This window comes from Homo sapiens, chromosome 7 (genome assembly GCF_000001405.40).
Source record: "Homo sapiens chromosome 7, GRCh38.p14 Primary Assembly".
Classification (NCBI taxonomy): domain Eukaryota; kingdom Metazoa; phylum Chordata; class Mammalia; order Primates; family Hominidae; genus Homo; species Homo sapiens.
This window is the reverse complement of record NC_000007.14, coordinates 77,575,036-77,594,358: the sequence shown is the minus strand read 5'-3', so window position 1 is coordinate 77,594,358 and position 19,323 is coordinate 77,575,036. Positions and strand designations below refer to the sequence as shown.

At 36.5% G+C, this 19,323-nt stretch overlaps 1 protein-coding gene across 11 annotated transcripts in view; it reads right to left on the bottom strand.

Annotated features, from left to right (window-relative positions):
* The window catches only part of PTPN12 (protein tyrosine phosphatase non-receptor type 12), a 102,775-nt gene that overhangs the window by 45,711 nt on the left and 37,741 nt on the right, over nt 1-19,323 (bottom strand). For 5 of the 11 annotated variants that reach the window (XR_007060120.1, NM_002835.4, NM_001131008.2 and 2 more), the window contains exons 3-6: nt 12,856-12,932; nt 10,709-10,804; nt 8,778-8,816; nt 2,103-2,174 (exon numbers count right to left, since the gene is read on the bottom strand). Coding sequence is in view for 9 of the 11 variants with exons in the window: in NM_002835.4 (NP_002826.3) it covers nt 2,103-2,174; nt 8,778-8,816; nt 10,709-10,804; nt 12,856-12,932 (284 nt within the window). In the remaining 2 variants the exon portion in view is untranslated. Of the gene's footprint in view, nt 1-2,102; nt 2,175-8,777; nt 8,817-10,708; nt 10,805-12,855; nt 12,933-19,323 lie in introns of those variants that run through there. The other 6 variants (XM_006716073.5, NM_001131009.2, XM_047420674.1 and 3 more) reach the window with 2 other exon arrangements.

Below are 19,323 nucleotides of genomic sequence, written 5' to 3'. Positions count from 1 at the left end.
ATTGGGTATTATTCAAGCCAAATAAAAGGAAATGCAGTGGGATTTTTAACGTTTTTAAAAATGTTAATAATGTCTCACTATTTTGCCCGGGCTTGTCTCAAACTCCTGGGCTCAAGCAATCCTCCCCACCTCAGCCTCCCAAAGTGCTGGGATGACAGGTGTGAGCCACTGCACCTGGCCTAAAATTTTTACATTTACCCCACAAATAGTTAATTCTAATCAGCACCTTAAGAATATTGACTAAATACTACATCCAAAAAGTTCAATGGTGAGTTATAGTTAACATTATAAAAACAACATTGATTTATAAAGTAGACAGCATAATACAGATACAGTCCTGTCCTTTTTTATGTCAACCTAGAAAGCACTAAACTTTGGGTATGTATGAGAGGAATTCAGAAGTCATGAGTATAACTAAGTCATAAAATTATGGAGTTCAAGAACTCAGCAATGACAAGTAAAACCACAGAAATTATATTTCGTTTAATCATGGAAAACAAAGTCAAAAACAAGAAACTCTGAATAAGGAATGTGATATTTAATTTTATCTGTCAACTTGGCTGGGCCACAGTGTGCCCAGAATATTTGGTCAAACATTATTCTAGTTATTTCTGTGACACTGTTTTTGGAGAAGATTAACATTTAAACTGGTAGTCTCTGAGTAAAGCAAACTGTCCTCCATAATGTTGTTGGGCCTCATCCAATCTGTTGAAGGCCTGAATACAACAAAAGGACCAGCCTCCTGAAGCAAGACAGAATTCTCCAGCAGGCTGCCTTCATCTGCAACATTGGCTCATCCTGATTCTACAACAGACTTTTCCAACTAGAACTGAACATCAGCTCTCCTGGGTCTCCAGCTTATCAGCATTCAGACTGAAACTGCAGCATTGGCTCTCCAGGATCTCCAGCCTACCCTGCAGATTTTGGACTGGCCAGCCTCCATAACTGCCTGAGCCAATTCCTCGTAATAAATCTCCTTAAATGTATACACATGCACACAGACGCATGCACACACACTCTTATTCTATTGGTTCTGCTTCTCTGGAGAACCCTAATATAGGCAAATTCATTAATTTTTTTTTTTTTTTTGAGATGGAGTTTCACCCTTGTCGCCCAGACTGGAGTGCAGTGGTGCAATTTCAGCTCACTGCAACCTCCACCTCCCAGATTCAAGCAATTCTCGTGCCTCAGCCTCCCAAGTAGCTGGGATTACAGGTGCCCACCACCATACCCAGCTAATTTTTGTATTTTTAGTAGAAAAGGAGTTTTGCCATGTTGTCCAGGCTGGTCTCGAACTCCTGACCTCAAGTGATCCACTCGCCTTGGCCTCTCAAAGTGGTAGGATACAGGCATGAGCTACTGTGCCTGGCCTAAATTAATTGATTTTTAGGTTATGTTCAATTACAGTCTTTTTATGGCACCTAAAGAAAACTTGGTTCTATTTTAAAATTCACTTATATTTTCCTTCTTTTTGTCCATGCCTTTCTTTTTCCTACTCCTATTTCCTTCACTGTTTTCATTTTTTTATTCATTTTCTCAGATTTTTGCTGTGTTAGCTTTTGAGCTTGAATTTAATTCATTTCCAGAGGTCATTACATATTAAGAAAACATTTTAAGTTTCATATCAAATAATCTGCCAGACAGGACCAATCTTTACTTCCAGTATGGTAGGTCTTAAACTTATCTTTATATATAATTATAACAATTTTTGAGAGCACAATTAGATATGAAGGGTTAATATGATACACTGTACTCCAGTTACCAAGTCTTTCCCATTTAATCAATTTGAAATGAATACACGATTTCCAAATATTAAAAGCACAGTTACTTCATTTACATGTAAACACCTACTATCAATTGATATACAAAGACTAACACACAATCAATATAGTAAGATACAAGGAAAATATGCATTTATGAAGTCAACCCAAAAGCTTCCAAATTTAAAAGCAGTATATAAACAAAATTTTTTTAAATGTAAGCATAGGTTTGTGAGTCCTTGGCGTCTATAAGCCTGGGTTCATACCACATTATAATTTAATTATTCATCAGTATAGCATGCCAATTTTCTGAAAAAAGTGTTTACAAAAATGGATACTTACACAAGAAATTTTAAATGGTGCAAACGTTATGGGGTCTTCTCCATACAAAGGCCAATAGCGCTCACATTTTTTCTGTCATCCAAAAAAAAAAATTAGTAAGTAATTCATGTAAGTTTTTCTTAAACTGTTATAAATATTTTGTGTCCTGAGGTTCTGCTTACTTCTACTTCCCCAAAACAGAAAAACCCACATTAGCAGGCATGGAGCTGAGAGAGCTTAGATTTACCCAGTTGTTTTAAAAAATAGGCTACTGTGTCTTCTCCAAGAATAGTCATAAGAACCTTACTGACTTAAGTGCATAACTGTTCATTGCTATCTGCCAGGTCTACAGAGTAGACCAAAGATCCTCCTCTAGACAAGAAAAACTAATTTTAAAAAAGTGTCTGGTACAAGGAGGTATTTGGTATAAAGGTTGCTAGGTAAGTTGTATTGCTTGTAACATGACAATCTCTACAAATATCTGGCTGAATTCTCATTAAATGTAAAATATGTGATGAAGTGGAAAGAATATTCTACTTGGAATCAGAAGAATTTTGCAAGTACTAATTCTACTCCTTTATTGACCTTTAGTTTCTTTATCTGTAAAAATAGGAATAATAATCCTTATCTTACAGAGTTGTTGCATGTTTGTTAAATAACAGTGTATTTCAAATGTACCACAGATGGTAAAAGCCCTACACAAACATGATGTATTAACTATTCAATTTTATTAGAGATTACAGAAAGTGTAGTCAAATAATTTCTCCTCTTACCTTCCTATTTTAAACAGGTATAGAAAAAGAATGATAAATTTTCATCAGTTTCTAATATCAAGCACCTCATCATTTTAGAAAATCAGTTAAGTGAATGAAAAGCCTAACTTTATGGAAAATAGAATGATTCAGGTATTAAGAAATGATGCAATTTGTATCAAGGCCCAATAAAATCAAAGTCTCTAAGTGACCATCTAGCTTAAATAAACCTTTTAAGCAGTGGGAAATGCATTGGTTAATGAATTCCTAATTAAATCTTCACAGTTCCAAATACAGTAAATGGAGTTATTACCTATAGGCTGAATGAACTATAAGTTGACAGTAATGCTCACAGAGAAACAAAGTAGAACTGTCTGGTATGTTGGGTTAGCTAACATTTTAGAGGCTTAAAAACACAGGTAACTTCCAAATCTCATTTTCCAAGAGATGTTTACAGAAAATGATTAAATTAAATTCTCTCTTTTTTTAGATAGGGTCTCACTTTGTCACCCAGGCTGGAGTGTGCAGTGGTGCAATCACGGCTCACTGCAGCCTCTACCTTCTGGGCTCAAGTGATCTTCCCACCTCAGCCTCCTGAGTAGCTGGGACCACAGGCGTGTGCCACCACAACCGGCTAATTTTTTTTTTTTTTAATAGATGGAGGCCGGGCGTGGTGGCTCATGCCTATAATCCCAGCACTTTGGAAGGCCAACGTGGGTGGATGACTTAAGGCAAGGAGTTCAAGACCAGACTGGCCAACATGGCAAAACCTTGTCTCTACTCAAAAATACAAAAAAATTAGCCAGGCATGGTGGCACATGCCTTTAATCCCAGCTACTCAGGAGGCTGAGACATGAGAATCGTTTGAACCTGGGAGATGCAGGTTGCAAAGAGCTGAGATTGTGCCACTGCACTCAAGCCTGGGCGACAGAGCGAGACTGTCTCTCCCCACAAAAAAAAAAAAAAGATTTAAAAAAAATAGAGATGGGGTCTTGCCATGTTGCCAAAGCTGGTCTCAAACTCCTGGGCTCAAGCAATTCTCCCACCCTAGCCTCCCAAGTAGCTGGGATTACAGGTGTGAGCCACTATACTTACACTTGGACCTTAAATTATTTTTGAGAGTTTAAAAAACATTTTTTTAATCTTTTACCTGACAAAACTTTAATACTTTGAAACAGATAGAAAACAAGTTGTAAGAGATTAATTTAGTTAAGAATAGAAAGCGGTGTGACTAACAATGCCCCTCATTCAGATGAGCAGTAATAAGATTATATTGGTACTTATATTCCTGGTATAAAACTAATAATGATATCAAAAACTATGTGTTAAATATCATACATACATAATCTCTAACACTGCAAGGTGGGTATTATTTCCTTTCAAATGTGAGGAAACTGAAGCTCAGAGTGAACTGTACTGCACCATGGTCAAAATGCTTGTAAAAGGTAGGTTTGTCTGATTTAATTATCTATGCTTTTTCCACCAGGTCACATTCAAAGTCAAGATCAAAGTCAAGGTTATCAGATAATTTCATAGTTCCTAACTTGCTCATAATCTATTACTAATAAGACACAGTGAATCACAAAAACCTTTCGCTTCAAAAAATTATGTACTCAATGCTACTTGATTTTTCATCAATAACTTGATACATACTATGAGCTTACTAATATAATGAAAAGAGAAATACATCCTAAACCTTAACAGTAACTTAAAACATTAGGAGAATGACATTTAAATTCTCTTAGACAATTGATTAATAATATTAATGTATATATTGACAACCCTTAAATAGATAACTTGATTACTTAATAATTTCTCAGTTTTTATATTTTCTCATTTTATTCACTTTCTGTCCAACATTACTTAATACTGACATAGGAAATAGTTGGGAGTAATGGAATAAATTAAGGCTTCCCAATTATTTATGTAATATAACTGAAAGATGTATCTTTTGCAATATATTGCTTACTGAAAAAATTAACATATTTACAAACTAAAGATAATTTTAAATATATTAACTACATTAGTATTAAAAAACTTCAAATAAAATCACTATGTAATTTGTAAGTTTGATTTGTATGCCATATTTATAGAAGACCACACTTTATAAGTTTTATTTAAATATGAATTATCTGTAAATATATCATTACCTCCTACAGTGAGGACAGAATATGATGCTGTAGGATACCAGAATAGCTTTGAAATAAATTTTACTTCGACATAGCATAAAAATACCAATGTTAGAAAATCAGGGTAAGAAATTATCTTCTCTCAGTTTTGAAGATAGGAAACAAACAAAACATACTGTGGTATTAACAAACAGACTAATCAAGATATTCAGGCCTGGTGCGGTGGATTACATGGGATTATATGCCTGTAATCCCAGCACTTTGGGAGACAAAGGCGGTCGGATCACCTGAGGTCAGGAGTTCGAGACCAGCCTGGCCAACACAGTGAAACCCCATCTCTACTAAAAATACAAAAATGAGCTGAGCCATGGTGGTAGGCGCCTGTAGTCCCAGCTACTCGGGAGGCTGAGACAGGAAATATACCTGAACCCGGGAGATGGAGGTTGCAGTGAGCCGAGATCGCGCCACTGCACTCCAGCCTGACTGACACAGCAGGATTCTGTCTCACAGTCTCAAAACAAACAAACAAACAAAAATTCAAACCATATATTAATGATAACCAGATTTTTAAAATGTATTTCCACTTGTTCAATTTTATTCCTATTTAAAAATACCTCTCTATTTCAGTCCATAGATAGCATTCTAGTTACAACACCACTGAATATTTGAAGTTTACTAAGTAACAATACCTAATTAATTATTGTTAAGTACAGGCATACCTCATTTTACTGTGTTTCTCAGACACTGCATATTTTACAAATTGAAGTTTTGTGGCAACCCTGCACCAAGCAAGTATATCGGTATCATTTTTTCAACAGCATATGCTCACTTCAGGTCTGTGTCACATTTTGGAAACTCTTGCAGTATTCCAAACTTTTTCATTATGATGATATCTGTTATTGTAATCTGATCAGTGATGTTTGAAGTTACTACTCTGTTTTGGGGTGCTACAAACTGCTCCCATATAAAATGGCAAACTTAATCAACAGATGTTGTGAGCATTCTCACTGTTCCATTGACAAGTTTTTGTACAGTCTCTCTTCCTCTCCTTGGGCTTTCCTATTTCCTGAGACACAATATTGAAATTAGACTAACTAATAACCCTACAATGGCCTCAAAGTATTCAAGTGAAAAGGGTCACAAACTTTTCACTTTAAATAAAAAAGCTAAAAATGATTAAGCTTAGTAAAGAAGGCATGTTGAAAACTGAGATAGGCAGAAAGGTAGGCCTCTTGTACTAATCAGCCAAGTTTAGAACAAAAAGGAAAAGTTTTTGGAGGACATTAAAAGAGCTACTCCAGGAAACACACAAAAATTAAGTAGGTCAAACAGCCTTATTGCTTACATGGAGAAAGTTTTAGTGGTCTAGATAGAAGATCAAACCAGCTGCAACATTTCTACAAGCCAAAGCCTAATCCAGAGCAAGGCACTAACTCCCTTCATTTCTATAAAGTGTGAGGAAGCTGCAGAAGGAAAGTTAGAAGCTAGCAAAGGCTGGTTCACGAAGTTTAAGGAAAGAAGCTGTCCCCATAACATAAAAGTGCGAGATGAAGCACCAAATTCTGATTTAGAGGCTGCAGCAAGTTATCCAAAGATCTAAGCTAAGAGCACTGATGAAACAAGCTATACTAAATGACATATTTTCAGTATGGATGAAACATCCTTATATTGGAAGAAGATGCCATCTAGGATTTTCAGAACTAGAGAAAAGAAGTCAACGTCTAGCTTCAAAGCTTCAAAGGACATGCTGACTCTCTTGTTAGGGGTTAATGCAGCTGGTGACATTAAGTTGAAGCCAATGCTCATTTACCATTCTGAAAATCCTAAGGGCTCTAAAAATCATGCCAAATGTACTCTGTCTGTCCTCTATAAATGGAGTAAGGCCTGGATGTCAGCACATCTGTTTACAGCATGTTTTTGTTTTTTCAACCCCACCCCCAGCCCATCCCTATTGCATGGTTTAATGAATATTTTAAGCTCACTACTGGGGACTACTGGTTGGAAAAAAAAATTCCTTTCAAAATATTTCCGTTTACAACGCACCTGGTCACCCAAAAGCTCTGATGGACATGTACAAGGAGATTAATATGTTTTCATGCCTGCTAATACAACATCCATTCTGCAGCCCATGGATCAAGGAGTAATTTTGAGTTTCAAGTCTTATTATTTAAGAAACATATTTTGTAAAGCTAAAGCTGCCATAAATCATGATTACTCTGATGGGTCTAGGGAAAGTGAACTGAAAACCTTCTGGAAAGGATTCAGCATTCTAGATGCAATTAATTACATTCATGATTCGTGGGAGGAGGTCGAAATATCAAGATTAACACGAGTTTGGAAAAAGTTAATTCCAACCCTCGTGATAACTTTGAGAGGTTCAAGACTTCAGTAGAGGAAGTAACTGCAAATGTGGTGGAAACAACAAAGAGAATCAGAAGTGGAGCTTGAAGATGGAAATGAATTGCCACAATCTCATGATAAAACCTGGAATGGATGAGGAGTTGCTTCTTACGGATAAGAAAATAAAGTGGTTTCTTGAGATGGAATCTACTTTCTTGAGATGGAATATACTTTTGGTGAAGATGCTGTGAGCACTTGAAATGACAACAAAGGATTTAGGACATTAAATCAACTTAGTTGATAAAGCAGTGGAAGGGTTTGAAAGGACTGACTCCAATTTGCCAAGTAGTTCTACTGTGGGTAGAACAGCAACTGCTGTTGCTATCAAACAGCATGGCATGCTACAGAGCAATCTTTCATGAAAGGAAGAGACAATCAATGTGGCAAACTTCACTGTTTCTTATTTTATGTTTTTATAGGTGGAGTCTCCCTCTGCCCAGGCTGGAGTACAGTAGCATAATCATAGCTCACCGCAGCCTCAACCTTCTGGGCTCAAGTGATCCTCCCACCTCCACCTCCCAAAGTGCTGGGATTCAAATGTGAACTACCGTTCCTGGTCCTGTCTTGTATTTTATCAAAAATTGCCACAGCTACCCCAACCTTTAGCAAATACCAACTTGATCAGTCGGCAGCCATCAACGTCAACAAAACCCTTTACCAGCATAAAGATTACAACTAGCTGAAGGCTCAGATGATCATTAACATTTTTTAGCAATAAATTATTTTTAAATTAAGGCATGGAAGGCCAGGCGCAGTGGCTCACGTCTATAATCCTAGCACTTTGGGAGGCCGAGGTGGGCAGAACACCTGAGGTCAGGAGTTCGAAACCAGCCTGGCCAACATGGTGAAACCCCATCTTTACTAAAACTACAAAAATTAGCCAGTTGTGGTGGCACATGCCTATAATCCCAGCTACTCAGAAGGCTAAGGCAGGAGAGTCGCTTGAACCTGGGAGGCGGAGGTTGCAGTGAGCCAAGATTGTACCACTGCACTCCAGCCTGGGCAACAGAGCGAGACTCTGTCTAGAAAAAATAAAAAAATAAAATAAGGCATGAAGTGTTTTATAGGTATAATGCTACTGAACATTTAACAGACTATAATACAGTATAAATATGACTTTTATATGCACTAAGAAAACAAAAAATTTGTTTGAATTGCGCTATTGTGGTGGTCTGGAACTGAACCTATAATATCTCTGAGGTATGCCTGTGTGTGATAAAACATACTTACAAAATATAAAAGAAAACAACATGCTTGAGAGATTATTTTGTCCCTTGTATGAAATAAAAGCAACAGCAGTACCCCAAAATAAAAGAAGTATCTACATTAACCGCTTATGTTAAGACTATAATAATAAAAGACTAAGAATATTTATCCGTAAAAATGAAATAGTAAGAGGAATAGATTATACATACCCTTCCCATCTCAAATTCTCGGCAGGCCATTACAATGATCTAAAAAGTGATGGTGGGGAGTGAGATAAAGAACGTATCAGTTAAACACAATTTTACTTTTTAATAAAATACAGATTTCAAGAATTTTGCACCGAGAAGTATAATTGGCTTGCCTAAAAAAGTAGTTTCAATATTAAATGTGTAAGTTAAAGAAATTATCAAAATTAGACTTTCCAAACAAGGGCTAACTATACAGCAACAAATTAAATTGGTTCCAATTAACATGATGTTTTTGGTTTGAATTAAATCATGTAAATCTTACAGATTTACTTTGTGACTTCTGAAATTATATTAAAATATCACTTTTAGGATATTTACCTAATTATAAATAGCACTATTAATTAAAAATATATTTATAATTATTTAAATATTGAATGCGTTTAACACCATTTTAAAAGTTGATCACACCTGCTTTTTCCCATTTTATAATGTAAACTTTCCAACACACAGCATAGTTGAGAATTTTACAGTAAACATTGTATAGCCATCACCTATATTCTATCATTAACATTTCACCATGTTTTATCACATAGCTATCCCTCTATCAATCCATCTTATTTTAAAAATGCATTTCAAAGTAAGTTGTGAACATCAGTACACTCTCCCCAAAATACTTCAGCATGCATATTATTATCTAGAACACAATAAATTTTTTTTTTTTTTTTTGAGACGGAGTCTCGCTCTGTCGCCCAGGCTGGAGTGCAGTGGCGCTATCTCAGCTCACTGCAAGCGCTGCCTCCCGGGTTCACGCCATTCTCCTGCCTTAGCCTGCTGAGTAGCTGGGACTACAGGCGCCCGCCACCACGTCCAGCTAATTTTTTGTATTTTTAGTAGAGACAGGGTTTCACCGTGTTAGCCAGGATGGTCTCGATCTCCTGACCTCGTGATCTGCCCACCTCGGCCTCCCAAAGTGCTGGGATTACAGGCATGAGCCACCCCACGCGGCCAATCTAGAACATAATTTTTATATTGTTTCCAGTATTTTTCCCTTGAGGCAAATTTTACATATAATGAAATGCACAAATCCTAAAGTGAACATTCTCCGAGTTTGGACAAATACACACATCTGTGCAACACAAATCTTATCAAGATACAGGATGTTCCCATCATCCAGAAAGTTTCTTCATGCTCTTTCTCAATCCCCAAGCACATCTAGTTTTTAAAGTGAAGTACAGCAAATATAAATAACTGGAAAATTTCCCCCCTTTTATTAATCTTTCAAAGACCAGAGCATGTCAATGCTTTAGAATCATTACAATTCCATTAAAAAGCCGTAAGACAAAAATGAAAGTTTCACATTACTGATTTTCCACATCCACACAATGAAAAGTATCAATGCACATGGTTAGGTTTCAAGAATACTACAGAGCAGTATAGGGTAGCTCTTCGCAGTATTCTAATTTCTCTGCTTCTAAATCTAAGGGCATATTATTTCCCTTCATCCAAAAGAACAAGAGGGCACTGAATGAACTCCAGGGATAGATGAAATTCTCTTATACTGCATATTTATAGTCTATTTATAGTTATGTGTTTATATATATTTTCCTGAGAAGAGGGACTCAAATGAGTATAACTGTACTATCAAGTATTTTACTGACCTATTAGAGCACTAATCCTTTTCTGCTTTTTATAAGTTGTTTGATAGCTGTATCATTACTTACTGACTTAGGACAAGATTTAAATTATTATCACACCTTCTTAAAATATTTAGCCTAGTTTGTAAAAATTTAATGAGACATCCTAAAAATGGGTCCATCTTTTTAGTAAACATCAGCAATAAGTAAACATAATTATGGATTTTTTAAAAATCCCCTCATTCCTTATTCAGTAAAATAGCCTATGTTATTACATAAGTATTTCTCAAAATTTATTGTGAAAAGTAAATTACTTACCACAACATTATACTCCCATATCATCCTCCAAAAATCTATTACTGTATTTGCTAAAGGTCCTTGAGTTGCTACATATGCTTTTGGCCCATAGACGCCCTAAAAATGGTTAAAAGCAAATTTCACATTTATTTTGATTACCAAAAATATTTCATTACCCAAAATATAAGGTTTCAAATTGTATTAGTAATATTGTTGTTTTAACTTAAACCATTTCCAAATAATGTGTCTTTCATAGTATATTAAAGCATGGCAAAATATATTCAATTCACTTAAGCTTTTGATGACTGCTATTACTTTGTGTTTACTGGATATGGTGCACAGAATAGGTATTTAAGAACCGCCTTATGCTAATTAAAAATTATTACTTATCTAGGCATTAATAACAAAAGCCCTAATACCTACTCAACAAAGCTAACTGGCAGAAATACAGAGCATGCTCTGATTCTAAAACAATACTAAAACTAGTGAAGAGCTCTTTCTTAGTTTCTTCCATAGCTACCTTCCATTATCTATTCAACTCAAAAGTTTATCAAGCATCTACTATACAGGTTTTTAATAATGAACATGAGAATATAAACCAAACAATGTCACTGACTAAAATACTAAACTGGTACATAACTGACTCATACAATGAATCAGTGTCATTAAGCATAAGTAAAAACTATAACTTTTAACAAACAGCCTTAAAAAAAGAATATGAACATTGACAACATCTGAAATAGCAAACTATCAATTTATTAGTTTTTATTTAATGTATTCATTTTGGTTTTTAACTTTGTTAAAAAAAGAAATTTTTATTTAAAACCATGACTGCTGAATATTGACATAGATAATAATTTTACCACATAAACTTTTTTTTTTTTTTTTGAGACGGAGTCTTGCTCTGTCACCCAGACTGGAGTGCATTGGCACGATCTCGGCTTACTGCAACTTCCACCTCCTGGGTTCAGGCGATTCTCCTGCCTCAGTCTCCCGAGAAGCTGGTATTACAGGCATGCACCACCATGACCGGCTAATTTTTGTATTTTTAGTAGAGACTGGGTTTCCCCATGTTGGCCAGGCTGGTCTCGAACTCCTGATCTCAGGTGATCCACCCGCCTAGGTCTCCCAAAGTGCTGGGATTACGGACATGAGCCACCGTGCCCGGCCTGGCATAAACTTTTATCAGTTAACATTTTTATCAACAAAAACATGAAAATATGTATAAACACCATATATAAAATAAATGAAAATTATACTATCATATCACTTGAAAGATTAAAAATCACAGATTAGCTGATGGAAAAAAAGCCTTTTATTTAAACTGAATCAAGTAGCACTTTGCATCTATCTCTACTGCTACCATAAAGAACTTGACGCTGGGCGCAGTGGCTCACGCCTATAATCCTAGCACTTTGGGAGGCAGAGGCGGGTGGATCACAGGTCAGGAGATCGAGACCAAGGCAGGAGAATGGCGTGAACCCGGGAAGCAGAGCTTGCAGTGAGCCGAGATAGCGCCACTGCACTCCAGACTGGGAGACAGAGCGAGACTCCGTCTCAAAAAAAAAAAAAAAAAAAAAAAAAAAAGAACTTGACTGCTTTTCATCAAAGGGTATCCAAACAAAGGTTATAAAAGAGACTATTTAATCTTGGATTTTGGGTTGCCACCTGAAACAGTGACAACTGCCAAAAGTTTTACATTTAAAGCTATGTTCTAGAATTTTAAATCAGTATTATCCAGTAATCCCACCCCTAGTAATTTATCCTAAGAAATTATTCAAAACAACAAAGATGTTTACTGCAATATTATCATTTTAAAAATTTGGAAACAACCTATATGGGTCAACAACGGGGATTGATGATGTTCATTTGTGTCCAAAGGGATAACTGAGAAAATAATTTAGTAATAGGTAAGACTTCCATGGGAAAGAAGAAATAAAAAAGAAAATGTTATCTCTGCTATCACAAAACTAAGTAGAAACTATTTATCTATATGAATAAGAAGGCTAGAAGGAAAGCATATAAAAACATTGTGCCAGGGCAGTGGCTTTATTTTTATTTCTTTTGCTGTTGGTATCATGTTTGAGCAATTCAAAAAGTTTTTACAAAACTAGTATGTAGAAAGACATTAATATGGCAGAGAAACACCATTTAAAGTTAGTACATACCTTTATAAAATTTGCATTGATATAGTCTGAATCTTGTGAAGGAGTCTTTAATGTCAATTTAACTCGGCTGTGATCAACTACGAGAAAAAAATTCATAAAATATGTATGGTTGACACACAGGTATTTTCTAATGAAGCGTAAGTAAGGTTAAATAGACAGCTTAAGAACATTTATTTTAAAAAACAATGGATGAAAATGGACTCTAGGTACCAGCAGGGTAATTTCTAACATTAAACTGAAAGGAAATGAAATAAATTTTCAGACAACCACCACCTGGCAGGCACCTGTAATCCCAGCTACTCGGGAGGCTGTGGCAGGAGAACCACTTGAAACTGGCTGGGAGGCAGAGGTTGCAGTGAGCCAAGATTGCGCCACTGCACTCTAGCCTGGGCGACAGAGTGAAGATTCTGTCTTAAAACAAAACAACAACAGCAAAAAAACAAAACAAAACAAAACAAAACAAAAAAACACCACCACCAGTGACGTAAAGCAGTGTATTAAAGTTGCAATAAGAATCATCTCTGGAACTCTTTTAAAATTCAAATTCCAGGACATTATCTCTGATTTACTAGAGCAGAGTCTAGGGTTTCAGCCTCTGCAGCTTTTAACAAACATACCAAGTGGCTGATGAATACTAACCAGTGATACACAAGCCCATATGCTAAAATTCTTATTTAAAAAATGTAACTTTCATATTTCACAAGAAACTATAAAAAGCAAATTATAACAAATTAATGAATTGAGATTATATATAAAAAGTGTTCAACACTGCTCTTGGCTAATAATAGTTATTATTAGGTAATAGAGTAAAAAAATCTTTAAAAAATTTTATGAAGTATATTTTTCTTTTAAGTTTTTATTGATTTCTTTTAAAGGAATATGTATATAATTTTTAAAAATTAGACCTTAAAGAAAGGTATAAAGTGAAAAGTAAGCCTCCCCTGCCCTTCAATTCCAGGGCTCTCTCCCATCAAGATACTATATTAAAGTTACTTTTCCCATTCCAAGTGTACTTATTACACATATAGTTATATACTTTGAAAAACTACTACACAAATGCAAGCATCCTATACATGCTGTTCTGTATCATTACTTTTCAGTTTATAGTATATCCTGGAACTCTTCCCAAAGCACAGAAAGATTTACTTTATTATTTTTACTATTATTTTAAAATACAGAGACAAGGTCTCACTCTGTCACTCAGGCTGAAGTGCAGTGCTGCAATCATAGCTCATTCGAACCTAAAACTCCTGGACTACAGATCTTCCTGGCTCAGGCTCCCAAGTGTTTGGATTACAGGTGTGAACCATTGCACTCAGCTTGCACTAGGCTATCTCACTCTTTTTAGTGTAACAGAGAATTCCATCATGTGAATGTTTCATTCTTTATTTAGCTACTCTACTGATGGGCCATTTTTTTCCTATTAAAAACATTACTACAATGAACACTAATGTATATATAGCTGTTACCAGCATTGCTGTAGGGTAAATTCCTAACAGAGGAATTGCTACTTGCCTTCTAAAAGGTATGAAACAATTTATACAGGGTTATGTAATAAGGGTGACTGGGTATTACCAAACTTTTCATCACTGACAAACCAAAAAGTAAAAATATCTTGTTTTAATTTCCATTTCTTGAATTATGCAAAGGATTGTATGTTTTAATCTATTTATTGGTTCTGTGTACTTCTTTTTCCATAAACCACTTGTTTATATCCTTTGCCCATTTTTCCACGTCTGTTTTGTCCTACTGATTTTTATGAGATCTATGTAAAAAGAAAAAATCAGCCCTCTGTCACAGGAAGTGCAAATAGTTTTTTCCAGTTTGTGCTGATGTTTAAAACTTTTTATTTAGAACTAATTTTAGATTTATAGAAAAACTGTAAAAATAGTACAGAGAATTCCCATGCCTCTCACTGAACTTCCTCTAATAGTAACATCTTATATAACCATAAGACAATGATCAATAATACCACAAAATTAACACTTATAAAACTATTAATTAAACAAGACTATACAAGTCAGTGTTTTCTAATCTTTTTTCTCTTTCGAGGATCTCATATTAAATTTAATTTTTAGTGGCCAGGCATAGTGGCTCACCCCTGTAATCCCAGCATTTTGGGAGGCCAAGGTGGGCGGATCACATGAGGTTAAGAGTTTGAGACCAGCCTGGCCCACATGGCGAAACCCCATCTCTACTAAAAATACAAAAAAAATTGGCAGGGCATCGTGGCGCATGCCTGTAATCTCAGCTACTCGGGAGGCTGAGGCAGGAGAATCACTTGAACCCAGGAAGCGGAGGTTGTGGTAAGCCGAGATCGCGCCACTGCACTCCAGCCTGGGTGACAGAGTGGGACTCCATCTCAAGATAATAATAATAATAATTTTTATTTCTCCTTAGTCTCCTTCAATCTAAAAAAGTTTCTCTGATTGATTTTTTTTAAATGACTGGAACGAAGTTATGAATTTTTGGTAATACCACAGAACGATATTGTGTCCTTCTCAGCACAACACATCAGAGGATACATGATATACATATGCTTTAGTACTTGTGATGTTAACCTTGGTCACTTGGTTAATATGGTATTGCTTGGTTACCAAAAGGGAAAGTTACTGCCTTTCCCTTTTATAGTTAGTAAGTATTTGAGGTTAGACGCTTTCAGATTATGAAATCCTAAAGTAGAATTGCCTAGTATTCATTGTTTCTGGATTAGAAGGGACCATAACATATAACATGTAAAATGCCATTATTATTATCAAATTATAATCCCTTCTAATCCATGAATGAGTATCAAAGGCAGTAAAAATACAAAAGGAAATACGGAAATGTTAACAGACATGAATAAACTTCTTAGCAAAGTATTAAAGAACAACTAATAGTAACTAATTTATTTTTCATTGGCTCAAATTTTATACATAGCACTAAAGGCCCAGTTCTGCTAATTTAATTGATAAATTTACTTTTAAAAAAGTCTTCTTTAGAAATTTGTAGAAGACACATATAAGGAAGATATACTTGCTTCTGGTGAAAATTATTCATCTCCTCACTGTATTCTAAGAAACAGAATGTTTAAAATATGTTTGTCAATGCTCTGTCATTTATTTCACGCCACCCTACATGTCCCATCCCCCTTTTTATATGCCATTTGGGATAGGAAATACACATACAAAAAAAAGCTATGACTCTGGAAAATGAGAATAGAATATTCAGTGGTTAGGATAATGATGGCTGAATAACTACAGGAAGCTTCCTCTTACCATGTTTGCCAGTAATAAGGGGTCTCAGTTAATTACCCTTATTCATATGACATATTAGCCTCTATTCAAAGTATCTCAAAGGCAGAATACAATAGCTGGTTTACCACTGGGTCCTCAGTAAAGTTTCTGGTGACTGTAAATCCAAATGAGAATAGTGGCTCCCAAATGATAGTTAGGACTGGTGCCAGGCTGGCTACATGCAGGCTGGTAATTTCTTTTTTTAAAAAATTTTCTAAGATGGAAAATTTTAAGCATACACCAAAATAGAACAGTATAATGAATCTTTGTATATCCATTACCCAGCTTCATTATCAACATTTTGCCAATCTTATTTCATCTATCCCCAATCATTCAACAGCTGGGGAAAGCAAATTAAAATCCAAGATTTCTGGAGTACTACATCTTGTAGTAAGTTCAATTCAGTAAATTAAAAATGGGGCACAGAAATACCCTTTTTAAAACTCCCCATTTAAATTCTAAAACACAGGCAAATTTGGTAGTCACTGCTTTCTACTATGTACCCACAGCACATTAGATTTAAAAATCAACATTATGCTACTTATACAGCATATCATGTGTATTTTGATTTTGGCATTTTAAATGTGAATTTTAGTATCATTCATCCAATAAATATTTATTGCATGTAATAAGCACAATAATGTTGTTCATATATCCATAGTAAAGTAGTAGCAAGGAAAGGGAGTAAGGAACATCTTGAGGATATCAGCAGTCTTCAGAGGTGTGACAAGCTGGGTCTCAGGGAATGAGAAGTTTGCCAATGATTAAAAAGAAAAAAAAAATAGGGCATTATAGGTAGCATAATAGGTTCAAAAGTATAGAATTAATAAAAAATAGCTACCATGGAATGAACGTTTCCTCTAAGCACATAATTTTATCCTCACCACACACCCATGGAGATAGAAGTTAATATCGCTATGCACAGACAGAGGTATGCCCAAATCACAAAACTGAGATGGCAGTGACACATTTGAAACTGGGGCTGCCTGATTTAAAAGCCAAGGCTCTGGGTCTAAATAATACATGTACTGAAGAGATATGAAGCAACATGGGACTACTGGAAGGAAGCGGTGAGCAACAAGGCTGAAAATGTAGCCGCCTGTTCTCACTCACTTGACCATAGAGCAAAGAAGGGGTGGGCTGGAATTGGAGTATGGAACAAATGCATGATTTCAAATAAATGAGTGTATATCCACCCCAGTTCTGTCCACTGAAAAGGCCTAAAAGCAATGACACACCAAACCCTGTTCAATTGTGGGGTCAGCCAGGCCTTCCAGGATTGCTCCCCGCCCTCCCAGCTGGCTTTTCTGCCACATTCCACTGCCACAGCAGACTGGGTGTCCTTCACCTGCCTGCATCTTCTGCAGTTTGTTAAGTGGCACCCTTAGCTCCTGTGACACCTTAGGGAGAAAGCCACAGCACCCATGATTTTGGGCCACCATTAACACCCGGCAAAGCGCCGGGAACTAGAAGTAGCGAGAAAGAACTTGGGTGGCTGTTTTAATATTCTTCATTGGTGCTCTTTTTTTTTTGAGACAGTGTCTGGCTCTGTCACCCAGGTTGGAGTGCAGTGGCACCATCTTGGCTCACTGCAACCTCTGCCTCCCAGGTTCAAGTGATTCTCGTGCCTCAGCCTCTCAAGTAGCTGGGACTACAGGCACGTGCCATCATGCCTAGCTAATTTTTGTATTTTTAGTAGAGGCGGGGTTTCACCGTATTGGCCAGGCTGGTCTTGATCTGATCTCAAGTGATCTGCCCGCTTCGGCCTCCCAAAGTCCTGGGATTACAGACATGAGTCACCTCGCCCTGCCAGATTGGTGCTCTTATTAAGCATATTTAGAAATAATCTAAATATCAAAAAAATGAAAACAATTATTCCTCTCCATGGTTTTGCTAGCTATCCAACCAAGAGAAACAAAACCATAGGTCCACACAGAGAGTTGTATGACATGTTCATAGCAGCATTATTCAATATGTTCATCATTCATACAATGGAATATTATTCAACAACAAAAAGGAATGAACTATCGATGCATGCTACATCGTGAATGAATCTTTAAAATGTGTTAACAAGAGGCTGGGCACAGTGGCTCAAGCCTGTAATCCCAGCACTTTGGGAGGCCGAGGCAGGCGGATCACGAGGTCAGGAGTTCGAGACCAGTCTGGCCAACATAGTGAAACCCTGTATCTACTAAAAATAACACAAAAAATTAGCCAGGCATGGTGATGTGCGCCTATAATCCCAGCTACTCAGGAGGCTGAGACAGGAGAATCTCATGAACCTGGGAGGCGGAGGTCGCAGTGAGCCGAGATCATGCCACTGCACTCCAGCCTGGGCAACAGAATGAGACTTCATCTCAAAAAAAAACTGTTAAAAGAGCTAGACACAAAAGACTATATATTGTATGATTACATTTATATTAAATTCACAGAAAAGGAAAATCTATACAGACAGAAAGCTGATTAACAGCTGCCCAGGGCTGAAGACTCAGATCTTTTAGGGGTGATGGAAATGTCCTAAAACTAGATTGTATTAATTGTTGCAAAACTCTATAAATTTACTTTAAAAAAATCATTGAATTGCACAATTAAAATGGATAAATTTCATGGGTATGTAAATTATACCTCAAACCTGTTTTAAAAATTCTATTTCTGCAAGCACTGCACATGTTAAAACATGCAAAGGAAGTTAGTGAATTAAATTCTTCTCCATCTTATTTTTTGAGACAGTCTCGCTCTGTTACCCAGGCTGGAGTGCAGTGGTGCAATCATAGTTCACTGCAGCCTTGACCTCCTGGTCTCAAGTGATCCTCCCACATCAGCCTACTGAGTAGCTGGGACCACAAGTGTACACACGAGAGAGAGAAAGAGAGAGTATGTGTGTGTGCGTGCGTGCGTGCGTGTGTGTGTTGAGTTTTGCTATGTTGCCCAGGCTGGTCTTGAACTCCTGAGCTCAAATAATCTGCCCAGCTTGGCCTCCTAAAGTGCTGGGATTACATGCATGAGCCACTGTGCCCGGGCAATGAATTAAATAGTTATCTAACAGTAAATAAGCACATATCTCTCAGTACAATTACTTTCAATATAAATTTCCAGGCCAGGTGCAGTGGCTCACACCAGTAATCCTAGTACTTTGGGAGGCTGAAGCGGGTGGATCACCTGAGGTCAGGAGTTTGAGACCAGCCTGGCCGAC